This window comes from Homo sapiens, chromosome 18 (genome assembly GCF_000001405.40).
Source record: "Homo sapiens chromosome 18, GRCh38.p14 Primary Assembly".
In the NCBI taxonomy this organism is placed as follows: Eukaryota; Metazoa; Chordata; class Mammalia; order Primates; family Hominidae; genus Homo; species Homo sapiens.
This window is the reverse complement of record NC_000018.10, coordinates 25,338,127-25,357,283: the sequence shown is the minus strand read 5'-3', so window position 1 is coordinate 25,357,283 and position 19,157 is coordinate 25,338,127. Positions and strand designations below refer to the sequence as shown.

Genomic DNA, 19,157 nt, shown 5'->3' with positions numbered 1-19,157 from the left:
TGTCAAAGGGCTTCTTTTAATTATCTCTGGATTTTAATGACCAATATTCTAATTTTTATAAACCGTAGTGTTAACCAAATATTATGGTATTTTAATAATTACATTAAACTATACCAAAGAAATCCATTTGTGCTCATTTGGACAAAAACTTAAAATTTTGGGGTTATAAACCAAATTACATGTTCTATTTTCAATGTATAAAATTAATTCAACTGTGTACACTTTCTAAAACTAAAATATTTACCAAAGGCATGATTATCTAGGGACATATAACTTATGAAAAATTGTTTATAATAATTTTTTTTAAGTGAGAGAAACATAATTTGCCTTTTTAGGAAATATAACTATTTCCTCTTTATTTCATTATTTATAAATTTTGTATTTCTGATGACAGTAATTATTTTTAGCATATGCCAGTTAAGTTCTACAAATATATACTATTAGCAATACTTAAAAAGGTAGATTCAATTTCTATCAACTGTTTTATTCCTTTATTGTCTCTTTTAAGGGTACATGTTCATTTTTTTTGTTAGTAGATCACTTATCTATATCCTTAATTCTTTAGAATTCACAAATCAGTACTATCTGGTTTTTCTAATATGCTACAATCTCTTTTCTTAAGATGATGCCTCACCTTTCAGTTACCTTTAAAAGTAGCTTGCAAATATTATTCTACTGAAAGATCCCTCTTTTCTTTTCGCAATTTCTGTGTGAAGAAAGGATATTTTCTCTCTTTTATTGTTTTAGTGGCTCAATAAGGACCTTTGCAGTGGTTATGAAAGCCTCAGTAAGAAAAGATGACAATGTGAAACCTCTAGTTTTAAACGTTTCTATACATGTTGAAATTAAATCTTTAAATTTCAATGAATTCGTGTATTATAAAATAAATGAATAATGTATAGTGTGCATTTAAAAAACTTTACCTTTTTGGATATAGTCCACCACCAAGTAGAAAAGTCCTCAACGCATCTGTATCAGAATTTTTTTTAAAGGGGTTTAATGACTCAGATTTTATGAAAGAAAAGAAGTCAAGTAAATAAGACTAAAAAAAGATTGAAAATAGAATTTGTTATTCATAATGACAAAATACATTTGCCATATTTATATATTTAATGTGGATTTTTCCATGTGACGTTCTTAAATGCTTTTGCATTCAAACATTGCTACCCATTTCATAGATTAAGAGGTAGAGTGTGGTTATGAGTATGCAGGATGGATATTAAGTAACTTACTGAGAATTAGATGGTGGACAATTAAAGGAACTGGGAACTGAGTATAGTTTTTGTGGACTAAAAATATTGCCTTTCCAAATGCATCACTAATACTTTGCACAAATGTTAATTTAAAAGTCCCTTATATGTTGTTCTAACAATAATGTGTTAATATGTATATACGTGGATGTATATACATATATAACACACACATATATTTTATATTTTAAACACACAGACACAGACACACACATTAGATTCAGATGGACTTTGATTAAACTGCCCTTTCATAGGACTTTTAATTTAACTCTTGTTAAAAATGCTCCTCCTTTAAAAGAAAGCTTCTGTGGAGTAATATGACTGATACAGTCATATTACTCAGGCAGGTAATACACTAGATTTGAACTAACTTTCAATATTAAAAAAAATCCGAAATCGGTCTTGAAAATCTTAAAATATTACATGAAATTGTTGTACAGATAAGTAGACATGTGCTAAGGATATTTATATAAAATTATGAGCAGAGTATTCTCTTTGTAATTGGTTTAGATGCCAGATTGCAACTTTGACACTATTACTTATAACTTATCAAAGACAATTTATGCTTTGCAACTGACATTTTAAAATTGGAGATTTACTTGAACTGGTACCTAATGTGTTTTCTGTAATTAATTCCTTTGAGGTCAAGTTTCATGGACACAGGTTTCCTTTAACATTAATCCCTCCTTTAGCAATATCTTTATTGTTGGAATTAACAGTTGAAAAAACGTTAATCTTTTTTTCAAGTAAGAGTCTCAGTTCCAGATATTGTTTGTTTCACCAATGCAAGACATTCTGAAAAGTGCAAAATATCTTAAAAGTAGGTGCTGTGGAGTCAATGCATGAAAAGAGCCAGAAGTTAAATCAATCATATGTTAATACGAAATGGAAAGTTTAATTATGTAGCTACTTAAGTTCTTAATAGAACTCGGTAATGAAGGGTCTGTCTCATTTTAAACTTTATACTACTATTCAGGTTATTTGTAAATAATACCTAAAATTTATAAGCTTTATATGTTTTTGCTGGTTATTCAGGAGATGTTAAATAGGTTATTTGGAGGACAGCACAATTTGTTGGATGATGATGTTCAAAAAACTGTTGAATGAAAATGAATGACGTTCTCATTGTAGCTGGTTTCCAGTTTTAAGAATGAGAATAATACATTTAAAAGTTGGGGGATAAATAACTGAATATATAGTAGTTTACTATTCCCAAAATGAATTTTGTTAAGCATGAAAAAATGTTTATCAGTTAGGCATGTTTACCTTTCTGCAGTGGCTAATTATGCTTTTTCGCATCGTCCAAAGAAAGACAAATCTTAGTTTTCCTTCTTTAGCATCTGTGTAGCCTCTATCAGGTGAATTGGACAGTTTACATTTTTGGTGTCTGTTTATATACGAAGCATGGAAAGTAATTGCGAGGCTACTCAGCAGTGTTTAATGAAATCCAAGTGCTCACCAATTCCACATAATTGATTAATTCACATGGAATACGGTGGTAAGGGATGCTGAAATCAGTGGGAGTTTTGCCTACCAGATCTGTCCCTCCAAAAGGTAGAATGGGTGATGTTTTATCTTGGACTTCAAGACCCCTTAATGAGACCTAAGAAAATATTTGTCTTGTCTTTAGTAAAATTCCTTGCACATGGTTCTTTATGCATTATTACCCCATCATCAACAACAGCATCCAAATATTCACAAAGTTGCTGCATTCTGCTCAGAGATGATGGCTTTGGCTTCATGGGTGGATGTTGGGGTTTATGTTTAGAAACATAATCAATGATCTTCCCCCCCTTGGTAACTTGGGGGGAGGAAATTAAAGTATTTAAAGATACGTTTCAAAAGCATTTTACCTATCTGTATAGGTCAATATTTGACAGATTTAGGTTAAAATAGTTTTTATGTTTGTCTTTTGGGTGGTTGGTGCTTTAACCTCCCTTAAAATGCTATGCAGTACTATCCCAAACTGAAATATCAGGCTCTTGAGCCAGATCTAAATCTCTGAGCTAAGGGTTTTATTTATCTCTTAATAGAGGAAGGCAACAGAAATACTAACATTGGGAAATGAAAGAACAATTTTAGAGTAAAGCAAAGTAGACTACTTTGAGAAAGAAACAAAAAAAATCAACCCATATAGAAAACTTTAACAAATTAGGGTACGCGTTAGTATTACGTTAGCAATTTTTCACTTTCCAATAAAACCAGGATTAGATGCCATCAATATTTTAGATAATATCACACATAACTTGGGACCACACATACATGGCACCATAGTATTCTGCACACATATGGCTACCACACGAAAGGAAAGTCTTGTAAAAACTTGGTGTTTACACATTTTTCCCTTTCTGAATGATTTCTGTGAAAATGAATGTATAAGGTTATGTATAAAATCTAGAATCCTTAATGTACCAACACAGATTCTGCAACAAAAGTTGCTTTATTTCACAGTCATGCAAAGTTAAATTTGACTACAACTATGATTTCACTTTAGGAATTACTGCAGATGGATTGAAAACTCATTTAATTATAATGAAGATATTGAAAAAAAACATACTGTATTTGCAGCTATCCACATGAGGGTCCAGGCAGTTTACAGGTTAGACTGGAAAAAATACAACTTCCTTAAAGCTTTGATGTCTTTGCATGGTGGCTTAATAGATAGCTGTACCTTAATTTTACAGAACGGAGAATTTTTAAAATCTGATTAAGAACAATAGTATTTGTACAAAATTCTGCCTGTTTTGTGTAATTAACCGTATTCTGAATCTCTTAATTTCCACCAAGACTTGTGAATCTAAGCTCTACTTGGTAGCCCTCTCAGGCATTTATAACTTGACAAGCGTGTCCAATCAATAAATAGCAACAACAATAATAATACTAAAACATCCTTTCCCTTAAGATAAGGTAAAAGAAGGAAACAGGTGATGGTTTCTTGTTTTGCGATGGGAGCAGGTGAAAAGTTAGAAAACAAAACTGCGAAAAGAAACAAAAATTCCCACCGACCTGCAGACATTTCAATTTATTTTAGAAACTATTTTCTTGTACACATATTCTTAAGTGCATATTTCCTTACCTCTTGCTTAAAGAAAAAATCAACAGAAAGCTTTATTTTCTGGACAAAGATCTATGTCAATTTGAGAATGTTAAAAAAGTGAACTCAAAGCTGTCTCTTTTGAATCACATTATGACATTCGTCAGCATCAATGACTTTCTCTAAACGAGAAAATAAAAAAAAAGTCCAAATAACTTGCCTTTATAAAGATTCCAAGTAAGAGAGACTTGGCAGGTCTGCGGTTGCCATAAAAAAGATTTCCCGAGTCCGGGCAACAACAGCAGACACACTTTTTTAAAGTCCGACAATGCAAAAGCCAAGCAATGAATTTCCCCCCTCCTTTCTTTTTCTTTTTCTTTTTCTTTTTTTTTTTTTTTTTTTTTGCCCCCTCAAGAACAAATTGTTGCCTCCTTTTACATCCATCCTACCAGAAGGGGGACCTTTCCACTTTCAGATGCTCCTCTGCTTTAATTTCTGAAGAGGAAAAAAAGCGAGCAGAAGAGCCCCGAGATCCGCCGTGGAGCTCTAATAACGCAGCTGCGGCGGCGGCGACGGCGGCGGCGCGGGGTGTGCGAGCGGCCGGGCGGGCGGCGCGAGGGGCGGCGGCGCAGGAGCGGGCGGGGCGCGCGGCGCGTGGGAGGCGGCGGCGGCGGCGGCGGCGGCGGGCGGGGCTCGGGGCGCTCGGCCGCCGCCTGGCTCCGGATCCGCGCGCCGCGGCCGGCGCCTCCAGTCCGGGTCTTGGCGGGCCCCCTCCTCCCTCCCGCTCCCCGCGCTCTCGCCTTTTAATCATGCCCCTCTGTCTGTGTGTGAGTGCAGGCAGGCTGACAATGATTTCCTCAGTGATTACGTACAGAGCGAGTCCCTGCGGGTTAGGGGCCCCCTCTGGAGCCATCCTGATGGCTTTGGGGGCCTTGCTTCCATTTTCCATTATTATGTGGACTACCGGAGCGACAGCGCAGTCCAAGACCTTGCAGGTTTGTGATGAGGAGGGAGCACACAGCACACTCCTTCTCCTCCTCCTGCTCCCGGCTCTCCTCCTCCTCCTCCTCCTGCTCTCGCCGCCGCTGCCGCCGCCGCTGCCGCCGCTGCTGCCGCCGCCGCTGCCGAGGCAGCCGTAGACTTTAGAGCCCCGGTCCAGCGCCAGCCGCCGGCGCCGCGCCCCCGCCCAGAGAGGGGCGCCCCGAGCCCGGGCCCCGCACACCCCCTGCACACAAGCAGCCCCGCACACCACCTGGGGGCCGTCGGCTCGGGTGCTTTGGCTTTTTCTTTTTGAAAGAAATTACTTTAGTGTGGGTTAAGAAAAAAAGGGTGGGGGGAAGGGAGAAAAAAAGTATTTTTTTCCCTTTGCTTATTTTCGTGGCCCGTTCGCATCTGCCTCGGATGGTGGGAGATTTTTCTTTCCAAGACCTTTTCATCGCCTTGCAGGGTCGATTTCCCCCCCTCGTCCCCCCAACTACAAAAGAGCACGACTCGCTTTGTAAACAAATCAGTGTTATTTGTTTTTTTCCGGTGGGGGGGGGGGCGGATTTGTTGAAAAGGAAAAGCGGTAAAGAAAAAAAAAATCACCCAGACGCTTTTCTTTTTATTAGTTTTTTTCTATTCGCATGAACTATGTGAATTTTGATTGAGGTGGAAATAGTAACGGATTTTCTCTTTTTAGTGTAGCTGACGGCTCTTCAAACATTGTCTTTGGGGTTTTTTTTTTAGCTTTTTTTCCCTCCTTTCCTTTTTTCTTTTTCCTTTTTTTTTTTTTTTCTTGGAGATTGGGGGTGGGGGTCGAAGGCTGGGAAAGTTTGGTGCAGCAGCCGCCGCCGCCGCCGCCGCCGTCGTGCAGAGCGCGGAGCTCGGGCAGCCGCGAGCCCCGCGCGCGAGCGCGAGCCGGAGCCGGAGCGAGGAGCGGAGCGCGGAGCGAGGGCGCGAGGGAGGCCGAGCGGAGGGCGCGAGGCGCCGCGGCCCGAGGGGCGCGCGGCCACGAGGAAGTATAGTTTCTTTCAGGGCTGAATTGAAACAACTTCAGCTGTTTGCTTTTAGGATGTCTCGCCGCAAGCAAGCGAAACCGAGATCCCTCAAAGGTAAGGAGGAACCCCCTGCTCCCCGCTTTCCCCCATCCGCGAGTGTCACTGTGGGTAGCGGAGCGAGGGCTGCGTGGCTGCGAGGCGTGTGCGCGCGTGAGTGTGAGTGTGAGTGCGGGGGCGCGCGCGCTCCCCTCCCCGCTGAGCCCCTAGGTGGAGTGAGGGTGAGGTGTCGGGGTGGGGGGAGACGAAGACGGGAGGAGGATCCCCGAATGGGGCGGCGGTAGAAAGTGGGCGAGAAAAGACAACAACAACCGAAAAAAAAAAAGAGAGAGAGAGAGAAAGAAACGAAATTATCCGGAGAGGGAGGAAAAAAAAATATCCCGTCTGAGATCTACATCTGGGCTGGAGGAAAAAGTTTCTGTTGTGTGTTTTCGCAAAGAATAAATATGCAAAACCGTGCGGTGCTTCTTTTTTCCTTTTCTTTGGAAGAAGAAAAAAGTCATCTCGGAGGTGGGGAGCAGCCCCCGCTCGTGACAAACGTGGCCCGGGGTCCCGGCCGCCGCCTCCCGCCCGCCCGCGTCCTGCTTGGGTCCTCTCCGCACGTCGCCGGAGTAAACAGACCCCGGCCGCCGGCCGCGGGCACCGGACCCCGGCTCGGGCCTCAGAGCACCCCTCTTGGCCATTCCCAGAAGTTGACCGCCCCTCGCCCCTACTTCTCCCCGCCGCCCCTGGAGTCCTTTGCGTTTCGCGGTGGGGTCCAGCTCTCCGTCGTCCCTGTTGGAGAGGGAAGTTGCGGGGCGTGCGTGCGGGATTTTGGGGGCGCACTAGCTGGCTGCGGCGGGGGCGGGGGTCCCTGAAGTTATCGATCTGATGGCTGTGTTGGAATGTGGCGAGGAGAGTCACGTGGCGGCCTCCTCCTCCTCCTCGGCCGCCTCCTCCACCTTCGCGAGCCTCCTTCCGAGGAAATCGGGGGCGGGCGGCCGAGGGGAGCCGCGAGGTCCGGCGCTCCGAGGCGGAGAGCGGGGAGGGCGGGCGGCGGAGCGCGAGGGCCGGAGGAGGGGCGCGCGGGCAGGACGGGGAACCGGGGCGAGGGCCAGGGGGCCAGCGCTGGAGGCGGCCGCGGCCCCCGCGACCCGGAGGCGGAGGACAAAGGGCGGCTGGTGCGCCCGCCCGGGCCCGCTGGGTCCCGCCGAGGTCCGCGCGGCCCGGCCCCGCCCTCTGGTCCCCGGCGGCGCAGCATCCTCTTCCTCCTGGCTGCCGGGCCGCGGCGCCCCGTGGCCCCGGTTCCCGCACCAGCTTCCCGACTCGCCGCCGGCCCGGGGAAAAGGGGTGGGCAGGGCCCGGCGCCCCACGCCTCCCGGCCCCCGGCCGCTGTGCATTTTTGAACTCGATGAACGGAGCCCTCACCGCACACACAAAGCCCTTTCTTTCTTCTCCTGGGAAGGGACGGGGTGGGGGAGGGCCTCGCAGATTGGAACGCTTGCTTTTTTCCTAAAGCGCAGAAGTTTTAGTTCGGGAACGAGGTGAATCATTGGCATGTGTCTCCACACAGTGTGTCTGGTGGTTTCCGTCACATGGGCCCCTCATTTTTCTGGGGGAAACCTAGACCCAGGGCCTGAAAGATCCAAGTGTCGACAGTGAAAAAAGAAACGCCACGGGCGTGCGCGGGTGTCAGGGTAACGGTGGACCAGGCTCGCGCCGGCGAGACTTGCCCGAGACCCCGGCTTTCTTGAAAGTAACGCTGAGCGAAGTACCAGGACAAACCTCTTCCTAGTCACTTGGAAAGAAGAACTTTCCGAGTTGAAGTAGGATAGCGGTTAGTGCCTGTCCGGTGGAAAGGGCTCCAAGAAGCTTCTGAAACCCCGTGAAGGAATTTGGGAGGGATTTTTCTTTTCAAAAAAAAAAAAGTTTATTAAAGTTTGCACGATTGGCAGTTTTGTTCACTCGCAGCTTCTGAGCATTTGGTTCACCTGCTTTTGGAGTGAATTTACAGCGAAAGTTTGGTTGACTGTGAATGCGTTTGTTCCCAGTGCTTCCTGAAGATGATTTCTTCTCATGCACGTAGGATTTTATGGGCAGTAAAGGGAATCCGTCAGTTGACGGTATTCGCTGGGCAGGTTTGATAAGTCGAACTGCAAAATACCTGTGCAGTTCTTAGGTTAATAAGCAAAAAATGGCAAGTGAAGAATGAGTAAAGAGGACATTTTATTCTTTTATCGTCATGTTGCAAAATTATCCAAATATCTTCCCCACAAAGACAGCATCTGTTTCAACTGCTAAATTCTAAATAAAATATTTACACTAAAAACAAAGATTTAGCTTCCATATTCTGTGTGGGCGCGGAACACAGTGCTGTTCTCTCCTATCAGCTGCTTGGACAACTCCCAAAAGAGCGAATGGCCTCAGGTGGGCTGGCTGGGCTTTTGGGGATGAGAAGCTGAAGACAGGAATAAAAATAGTACAGTCCTCACTGAAGAGCGGATTGTTTTTCTTCAGGGTATGCCTTGAAAAATTCATATGTAGATGAGCTATACCAAACGAATCATTTTGATATTAGTAGCGGTTTTGAAGAAGAGGAAGGGCATTCTGGGTGGCTCTTGTTAAATACCTAGCCTTCTCTTCAGTATTTTGATTTCCCTATGTCTTCTTGGAAGGGTCTCCAATTTTTCAAAATGTGTTGTAGGAGTGTTCTGAGTATGCGGATTGTCCATTATATCATTCAGAAGGTCACACTTGGATCATAGAAAAGCCAGAGAGGTGTTATTATGACCTGTGTTCTGGTATCATATTAGTAGTAATATGCAGTGAACAACACTTTGCTATCAGCAGGTATAGAAAGGCAGTCCTGTTGTGTTTCTTCATTTATGAATAACTGATTAATAGGTTTGCAATTAAAAGATAAAAAGTCTGATTTTATTAGATGAGTGACAGTATTTCAAAACCATGTAGATTATAGCCAACTTGAAGGAGGCATTGGAAACCATGAAAATGCAATAGGCCCTTCTAAATAAAACATGAAGTTCTGCACTGAATTTCCAACTTCTGTCTTACATGCATACTAGTACTTTAACCAACAAGATGTAAAAGATATTGCTGACATGACTGTCAATTTGATATAATTTGAAACTTGTATCTCAGGAAAGTCATTTACCTAAGGCAGATAAAAACATGAAGACACAATGTCAGTTAGGTTTGGAGTCTGTATTTTCAACCAAATGCTTAAAAATACAGATTACCAGGACATTTCTATTAACAGTTGAATTTATTGTGTGAATTCTCATAATTTAGTACCCTGAAGGAATAATTATGTTTACTTGAAAAAGTATGCTGGGTTTTTTGTTTGTAGGAAACTTCAGTGTAATTGTCCTAAGAATCCATCTCCTGAGAGTAGGTACCATATTTCTAGCTTCAGTGGAGCAGGTCCTGGTTGGTCTACTTACCTCCTCTAAAGTACATTAAACCTGTTAAACACCGAAAAGATTCACTTTTCTATTTGTAAAAGCTGGAAATATATTTTGAAACATGGAACTCCTTTACCCCTCCTGCCTTTCAAAGCCCTAGCATCAAAATTCTATCAGCCCACATACAAAGTTGACAAACTTATTCTGTCCTTATGGTACGAATCTTCTGGATAACCCCTTCTATTTAATGAAATAGAGAATTGAAGCCAGTTATTAGAGGCATGGATGGACAGACAATTAAATGAGTCACTCTTTCTGCCCCATTTATATTATTTGGATATTTGTCTCAATTCCTGAGAGTAGACATGGTACTTGAGTAGATTACCTGACTCAAAATAGTTCTCCTGTCAGCTTATTTTTAGAGGCAGCAAATCAGTTGCATCAAATTGGTCAATTGTGACCTATTTCTATTTTTCTTGCTGGCTATTTATTCTCTTTCTTGTGGTGCCTCTCTGATGGAAGTTTCTCGGCCATTTTACCTAATAACAAACAATTTTTTTTTGAAATTTACTCCAAAAAGCACTGTAAAAAGGAAAAAGTGGTCCACTATATAAAGGTGTGATATATTCAGTAAGAGCCAAGTTATAAAGCTGGGAAGGAGAGAGGGGAGCACTTAGTCATTTAGATGGCCAAGTTAAACACAAGACACAATTAGGATATCTGAACCCTCAGGTGTTCATAAACCCATACCAGGGACCTCTGGAGAGGAGTGGTGGGAACCAGGGAGAAAGAGAGCCCCAGAAGTGCCTTGTTTAACTTGGCCGTCACAGTAGCTAACCCTTTGTAACTTGGCACATTTTGAAGTTATCACACTTGTGATTGACCTTTCCCCCATTTACCTTCTTTTGTACTTAGGAAGGTTTATTTTATTTTATTTTTGAGTAGAGTAATTTATTTAGAAATGTAATAGAGTGGCAAAACTTAGTCTGCAATTTAAAGAAGAAATGTAAACTATAGAATTTGAATGTAAAGGCAATGGATTTTAAGCCTGAAACCTTTTGAAAGTAAGAAAACCTGTGTATTAGGCTGTATTCTCTAGTGGAAAAGCTCTAAAAATTGTAGGTGTTAGAAAAGCCACCTCAGGGAGCTTGTACTGGCCCTGAAATTTAATAGAAACATTAAACTCTGCAGTCCTTATTTAAACACATTTTTTTCTCTTATGTTCAAAGTCAAAATATATATACTTACGGGTAGACAGGTGAAGTATAACCAAAAAAAAAGTGTTTCTCTTATATTTCATATGTTTCATTTCTTAGACAAAAAAAAACCTCATCAGTAAAGATTGAGTTTTGATTTTGGAAATGATGACATAATTAGAAAAAAAAAGCCCCCAAGTTTGTGTGTAAAGGTAATTGTTTTAAGACAGTGCAGTGCTTTGCTTTTAAGAATTGCAATATGGCTTTCCCTCAAAATTATTTTTAGATAGGTTGTGACTCCCTTTTTTCATGATTAGATTTTAACCTAAGGTAAGTTTTTTAAAAAATAAGAAAAGATACATACACACACAAATTAGAGAGAGAGATTTTTTTTCATGATTGTACAGGCAAAAATACTAATTGGCATACAGAAATGTATGCTTTACTTTTGGACTTGTATGCTAAAAAGCCTGATTATTGGAAACACTGCAGAAGCTCAAACAGTGTTTGACATCCATACTCCTTCAGACACTTGCAAATGTTCTTCTATTTATCTATCAACCAGTGACTGTTTCTTCCCTCCACCACCTTTAAATTATACTGACTAGATGTTGAAGTCATTAAATTCATTATAGTCCAATCAGTAGACAATCCGACATAAACAAAAACAGCAATTACAGTTGGCAAGGATCCCATGAGTGCTAGTCAAAGTTCCAGAACTGATGGTCCAGTGAGTCTCTTCCAAAACGCCGGTTTCACGATTTCAGCACTTCTGGCAGCATCTTCCTAAAGTGAGGGCACACAAATTCATAAGATTCCACTTGGCCTTAAAAACAAAAACATCTGTTTTATGCATGAGTGGATTGTTGTCTTTTATTCATCCAGCCAAAAAAGGACAAAAAATAGGATACTGAACATAAAAGCATACATGTAAAAATGAAATTACAAAGGGATTTGAGATTAGCAAGCAGCCTTTTATAAAGCAAGCTGTTAATAATTTTTCTTTTTTGTTTTGCCAGAGTATTTCCATATCCTTTAAAAACCACTGTAGTTATCCTTACTGACAGCAGTGACGTCTAACAGTGATGACAGAATTTTTCAACTTTTTGCTTCCGGTAATTATACTTAGTTCTTTGTACTTGCTTATTTGGTCTAGTGCAAGACTCGTAGCATATTTGTAGGAGATTTCTTTTCACCTTAGAGGAACATTTGTACCTGCCTCCCTCTATTTTTAAAGGAGTCTGTTTGTGAGGGCTCGTTAGTCTGGTAAATTCTAGTTAAATACTTGTTGACATAAGTTGAAGCATATTATTAAGTATACTTGCTTGAGTTTTCATTTTGATGTAAAAGCATGTAATAAGAAGAAAGAGGTTTTGATAGTAGAAAAGAGTAGGTCTACTAAGATCAATTAAGAATTTTATTAAGGGTCTCTTTTTCCTATTAATGTGTTTTATTAATTCATCTGTCAGGATTCACATTGCTGGTTTACTGTCATTAATTCTGTTGCCACAGAATACATTCCTCATGGCTGGATTTAATGGATACTATGTTCAGTTTTTCAGTTAATTTTAAGAGGGAAAGTGATTTTAAGACTTGCAGTATTTGTTTATTTTAGCAGCTGTCTGCATCATTAAAAATGTAAATATTATCATTAAGTAAGATGTGAAAGAATGCTTTTGAATTGAATGAGATTTTGATACAAAGGCTGATATTCCACGTCAAACCTGTAGCTAAGTATTTTCCCAGATGTATTTAATTTTTTTCTTCATTGACTCCTGTTGTGCTGTCAAAGGTTAAAGTTAGTTCTAGGGGTGGGGGAGATGCATGCAACTTTCTAATTCCATTTCAATTAAATCTGAAATGTTCCTGTTTTTTGTTTGGGGACTACATGGTGCTAGGATTGCATATACCTTGTTTGTTGTAGTGAAAGCGTACTTGTCTGATTTAAAATATGTTCTGCAACAGTGTTATTACAAAGCAATTAAAACTTAAACATTAAAGTTAACATTAGTAAATTTAAATAGCTCTGTTATAGTATTAATCAAATAGTGTAAGGAAAGCTTTTAAATGGTTTAAATAATTATGCAACTCCTGGCATAAAAAGCCCGACACAAGATAAATCTCTGAAAACTAAGTAGAATCGCAGCTTTTTTTTTTTTTTTAATAAAAAACTTTAATTTTAGGCACCTTGGGCTTTTAGCATGCATCACATTCCACCTCTAGTATAAGTAATTATGCCAGTTTAGTAATTATTAGAGATGAAAGAAATTCAGTAAGATATGAATTCTTTAAAACTTCAGTAGCTTCAGTTTTAGCAGGGATAATGATCAAGCAGCAGTTATCCTGCTGCCTGGGGACCCTGCCACAGCTACAAGCACTGGGCTGATCTTGTGGGTATCATTATTATGGCAGCACATACTATAGTTAGTATTTCTACTCTAGTTGTCAGATTGCAGAGGTTTATAATTTGGTCATTAAACAAATTTAGATTCCAATATGACTGTGTAAAAACTCCCCTTTCTTAGAACACTTTTTAAAAAAAGATTAAGTTTAAAAATTATTATTTTGGGGCAGCATCTCTTTTAATTCTATGGGATAGTAAATGCTTTGAAAAATCCTGAAAAGAAAAAAAATGTGTATGCCTGTCATTTTTATGTGTGTATGTGTTAGGTACGTGTTCATTTTGAATCTTATTTTTAAATAAAGATGATTTGGTTTGGAAAGCATATATACTATTCCCGCATGATCATAGCTCTCCCAATCTGAGCAAGGTCAAGTGATTGACATTCAGAATATTTGTTTTCATAATAGTGCAGTTTGTTGGATTTATATTTCAATATTTTGGTTATGATAATTTTTTTGTATATGTGAAACCCAAGAGTTTACGTCCCTCAGTTATCACAACATATTGTGACACACACATACATAGTCTATATACACGGAAACATACTCTAAACCTTCTGTAGGAAATGCACTTTGTTTAGTAAGTCCATATAAGTGTTAATAATGTTTTAAGGGAAAAATTGGATTTTTTTCCAATTAAAATTGGTGTCAAAGAATAAGATTTCCTTTTTGAAATTAAAATCAGCGTATCATTGAGTCTCATTATTTCACTGACTTTATTACCTTCTCTTTCCATCTTATGATTGGCTTTTTCTCAAAATTTATTATCCCATCAGTATACTGTGAAGGATATGATATGTCAAGATGGAAACTTATTTACCTGATAGGGACAAAATCCTCATTGATTACAGACAGTTCCATATATTCATACAAAATACATTTGTTGAAACCTGTAGTGAGGTGAACAGTCCACACAGTAAACTATAACTTGCCATATTATAGGAGTTTCTGTGACCTGGAATCTAAAAAATATCACTGTGCTTTAAACTTTATATTGACTTCAAGAAACAATTTCCAGCATTTCATACGTGTTCTTAGCTAATATTCTTATCTTTCACAATAGAGCCAGATTAGGTCCAGTTAGTGCTTGAATAAGACTACATATTAATTGCTTTCAGCATTCCTAATGATTTAGGTTGTCTTAGTTGTGTTAAGTTTATCAGACATATGCTTTTTATTACCACTATCAGCACCTTTTGTCTTTCATTGATTACTTTTATACATTAAGAAAAAGAAGGCCAGGCGCGGTGGCTCACGCCTGTAATCCCAGCACTTTGGGAGGCCGAGGCGGGCGGATCACGAGGTCAGGAGATCGAGACCATCCTGGCTAACACGGTGAAACCCCGTCTCTACTAAAAATACAAAAAATTAGCCGGGCGTGGTGACGGGCGCCTGTAGTCCCAGCTACTTGGGAGGCTGAGGCAGGAGAATGGCGGGAACCTGGGAGGCGGAGCTTTCAGTGAGCCAAGATGGCTCCACTGCACTCCGGGCTCCAGCCTGGGCGACAGAGCGAGACTCTGTCTCAAAAAAAACAAACAAACAAACAAAAAAAAAACAAAGGAAAGAAAAGGAAAAAGGCTGTAAAGTCTTCACAAACATTGATCTACCAAGTACTAATGAAGCCAAAACAGAATCATTGCTTGAATGCTGATGTATGGAGTCTGAAGTTCCTATACATAGGGGGGTTTGGGGTTGTCAGTGTGCAACTTGCAAAGTTGTATGATGTTTTGCAGACATGAGGCAAGGGTTAAGAAGAACTGTGGGCTCAAGGGAGTGCATATTAATTCCTGGAAAGAGTTGAAAATAAAAACAAACAGTTATGGTCATAAGTATTGTGACTTGGATACTAGTGCTTGTAGGGAAATGGTTGCAGAGCAGGAAGAGCACGGGGGCATACTCTGATTTGCTGTGTGTTTTGGCAAGCCATTTACCCTCTGTACTCTAGGATTTAGACTTTCTGTCACTAAAATGAGGAAGCTTATTCATCATTTAACAAGTTCTGGGGGTTTTTGTTTTGTTGTGTTTTGGTTTTTGATGCCCGTCTTATCCCAGGCACTGTACTAAGTTCTGAGGATTCAGCTGTGAACCAAACAGATATATAAGCCTTGCTCTTATGGAGCTTATAGTCTAGAAAACTGGATGAGAGTCTACATACTTTCCATTGCTTTTTAGTTTTTGGAAGAAAGCTCTGCAGGTGAGGAGAAGGACGTACGTGTGTATGGTATGTTAACTTTTTCTGTGAGTTGGGTCAGATGAAGCAGTTAGACAAAATGAGTCTCAAAAACATTTTTGGCACCGAAAGTTTGATGAACTATACTTTTTAAGAATTGCTAGCTTTGTTTTTCTCTTATAATCTAAAGGGAAATATGTCCACTTGAACTGAAACAACTAAGCACAATATATAGAACTTTTACTTCCCACTCTTTTGTACTTAGGTCAGTGATGTTGCAATATCTTTTACCCCTCCTAAAAGTTCTGGATAACATTTTTGAAAGTTAATCGTGCAATGGTGAAGCTAATTAATTTTCTAAATTGTTTAAAGAATTTAAGGCATCCTTTAAAGTGATTGGAGGTTCTTGGAGAATGTGTATGATGTTCATATTAAAAAACAGCAAAACTAAACTTCAGTTAGGAATCCCTGCTATACAAAATTGAGGTGAAAGAAGTTGCAAGGAACTTATTCCATTAAATGTGCAGGCGTAGAACACTAGGGAATGCAGCAAGTCGGTACTAAAAAGTCCATAGTGTGCAGGTTTGACTATTTTTCCCCTGAGAGATAGGTGAATGCTTTGAAATAAACTTTTACTGAATCATGGATCTTAAGTGAGACAATTTAAGGATAATGATATTGGGTGTCTTGATGGTCTTCGTGTTCAAAGATGTGAGCACTGGAATGAATGGTGATGGTGGGGAGTGTAACTGACCGAAGAAAAAGATGATCAACATGAAATCCCTTTTGCCTCCTCCAACATCATATAGGTCATTTACATAACTATTGCATCATTATACCAAATTTTTAATCTTCAAAATAAAACCATTACAAGATAATAACACCATTTTATAGCTCCTGTTAAAGGTAGCTGTTTTTTATACTTGCCGATTTGCATATTTAAAACCCAGTATGAGTGTGATGGGCTGGCAGACCTCTATGGTGGCTTTTTATCTCTATCTTTGTCCCTGTGTCCCTAGGCTAGGAGAGTCCTTAGCCAGTTGCCTGCCCTATACTAAGTGCTCAATAAACTTCAGTGGAATCAGTATCACTTCATTTCTTAACAGTCAAAAAAAAGGTCTCAGTGACTTCTGAGTTCCCTTGTAGCTCCAACATCCTAGAATTCTTATGTTGAGAAATTGTGATTCTTGCAAGTTGATCAATAATTCATATTAATGGGGCAAACATACTTTCAAATTGTGAACTTGACTGAGTTATAGCTGATGGAACAAAATCAAAGACTGGCAAAAATTTCCAAACGCAGTTTGGACAGCCTTACTTTCCACTGTGATTTCTTATCAAGACCACCCATTTACCTTTGGCCGTCCAAAACATTTGAGCCAAGGTCAAAGTGTGTTGTTTGATTTTGTTATTTATTTATTTATTATTATTATTTTTTCGAGATGGAATCTCACTCTGTCACACAGGCTGGAGTGTAGTGGTGCTATCTTGGCTCCCTGCAACCTCCACTGCCTGGGTTCAAGCGATCCTCTCACCTCAGCCTCCCTAGTAGCTGAGAGTATAGGTGCGCACCATCACGCTTGGCTAATTTTTGTATTTTTAGTAGAGACAGGGTTTCATCATGTTGGCTAGGCTGGTCTCAAACTCTTGACCTCAAGTGATCCACACCTTGGCCTCCCAAAGTGCTGGGATCACAGGCGTGAGCCACCACAACCTACCAAAGTGTGTTGCTTTAAAGACAGCATTTTAATTTAGTTTGACTAGCCACCTTCAATTCATGTTCATCTATTTGCCCAAATGCTGGTATTCTTTTCCTGCAGCAGCATGTCCCAAACCTTTAGTGATGTCCATGGCTTCACTTTGAATCTCTTCTAGGCTTAGATTGTGGATTTTCAAGTCGGTGTTGTAATGATAAAGGCTTGAATATTGTTTTCATCTCACATCTTGTGAGAGGCTTTTTCCGACCCACCTAACTTAAAGTGACCCATCTCTGTTATTCCCTTATACCCCATATGTCAAAGAAGTTGTGGCACTTCATTTCCTGGTTTCTCTATAAGCCTTTTGAGAACAGTTTGGTGTCCCTTTTCTTTGAATCCCCGTAACCTACAATGTAGACAAACAAATGTAGACACACAAACAAATGCATTAATTCAGCCAGTTGATTAATTAACAAATATTTACTGTGTTTTACCAGTCATTTAGCAGTCTAAGAGTGCTAGCAGTTGAGAATGCTATGAAGGAGACATATTGTCTATATCCTGGTAGAGTTATGATCAAACAGTGGAAACATATTAAATAAACAAGATGCTAGTAATTTCCATTCCTGTGAAGGGACAGCACCGATGTTAATGAGACTATTTAACAGCGATATCAGTGAGGTCAGGGAAGGATTCTGGAGGAAGCGCTTTCAAGCAAATCCTGAAGTTTCATATGTTTTCGAATGAAAGATACTGAACATGGTCATGCATTCTAAAGGATTTTTTATTGAGCACCAAGTATGTGTCAGGTTCTAGGGAGACAATATGGAACCAGTCAGACCCAACTGCTCATGGGTTTCATGGAACTAACAGTCTATGAAGACATATTATGTGCCTCTTTGTGTCTCTCATAATGTTAACTTTAGATTTTACTTAGTTTTACAACAATAGTGTTCTTTCAGTTCACACAAATGGTATTCCTTTTGTGTCATTGGCACATGGCTCACTTCTGTGCAAGTTCTGGCCATATTTTAATTGTGGGCCTGGTTTTCCCATTCTAAGTAAACTACCTACAGCTACATTCATTGAGTTTTCCATTACCTAAGTCTGTTAACTTTCAAATATCTGGGTTTGTTTTAATCCTTAGAATGCTCTCTAAATACTTGATCAACTCACTCATTCTGGAATTGTGAGACAATTTAACAACTGTTCTCTATTTTATGTCTTAGCTATTTAGGAAAATATATGTTAGTCATCTAATTATGTTTCTGCTTATGATCTTTGTAAATTCTTAGCACAATTTTCACATCAAGGAGGTTAGTAAATACTAAACTGTGATAGTGCATCAACAATTCATTAGTATATTCTGTAATTAAAAAGAAAATGACTGGGCGCAATGGCTCACACCTGTAATCCTAGGATTTTGGGAGACTGAGGCGGGGGGATCGCCTGAGCTCAGGAGTTCGAGACAGGCCTGGGCAACATGGTGAATCCCCATCTTTACCAAAATATAAGAAATTAGTTGGCGTGGTGGCACATGCCTGTGGCCCCAGCTACTTGGGAGGCTGACGTGGGAAGATCACTTGAGCCTGGGAGGTGGAGGTTGCAGTGAGTCGAGATCACGCCACTGCACTCCAACCTGGGTGACAGAGTGAGACCCCATCTCAAAACTTAAAAAAAAAATGTAGAAAAACTGTGAAAGATTGTGAAAACAGTAATATGTCTACTAGCACTTTTTTCCACTTTCAACTCACATTTCCTATGCCTTTTCTGTTGTCTTTATTCTTAATTGTAGTTTACACACACACACACACACACACACACACACACACACACAAAAGTCTATGAGAGGTTGTTTGAATTCAACCCCTAACCATCCACGTAATTCTGTAAGAAAGGTCAGAGTGAGATGCATCGGTACTCTGGACGGCCGATTATATGTTGCCCCTTCCAACTGTTCCTTAAATATC

The 19,157-nt window shown here is 40.1% G+C and overlaps 1 protein-coding gene across 11 annotated transcripts in view, besides 1 other annotated feature; it reads left to right on the top strand.

Annotated features, from left to right (window-relative positions):
* Positions 5,023–5,092: a silencer, noted in NCBI's record as "silent region_9370". NCBI's record gives its function as "represses an Ori minimal core promoter by ATAC-STARR-seq in GM12878 lymphoblastoid cells {active_cell/tissue: GM12878}" and the evidence as "EXISTENCE:reporter gene assay evidence [ECO:0000049][PMID:35858748]".
* The window catches only part of ZNF521 (zinc finger protein 521), a 290,243-nt gene continuing 276,203 nt past the window's right edge, over positions 5,118–19,157 (top strand). For 5 of the 11 annotated variants that reach the window (XM_011525909.4, NM_015461.3, XM_017025698.3 and 2 more), the window contains exons 1-2: positions 5,118–5,279; positions 6,337–6,377. In XM_011525909.4, the coding sequence (XP_011524211.1) occupies positions 6,338–6,377 (40 nt within the window). In that variant the 5' untranslated portion in view covers positions 5,118–5,279; position 6,337. Of the gene's footprint in view, positions 5,280–6,336; positions 6,378–11,936; positions 12,033–19,157 lie in introns of all 11 variants that reach the window. The other 6 variants (XM_011525911.3, XM_047437472.1, XM_024451141.2 and 3 more) reach the window with 2 other exon arrangements.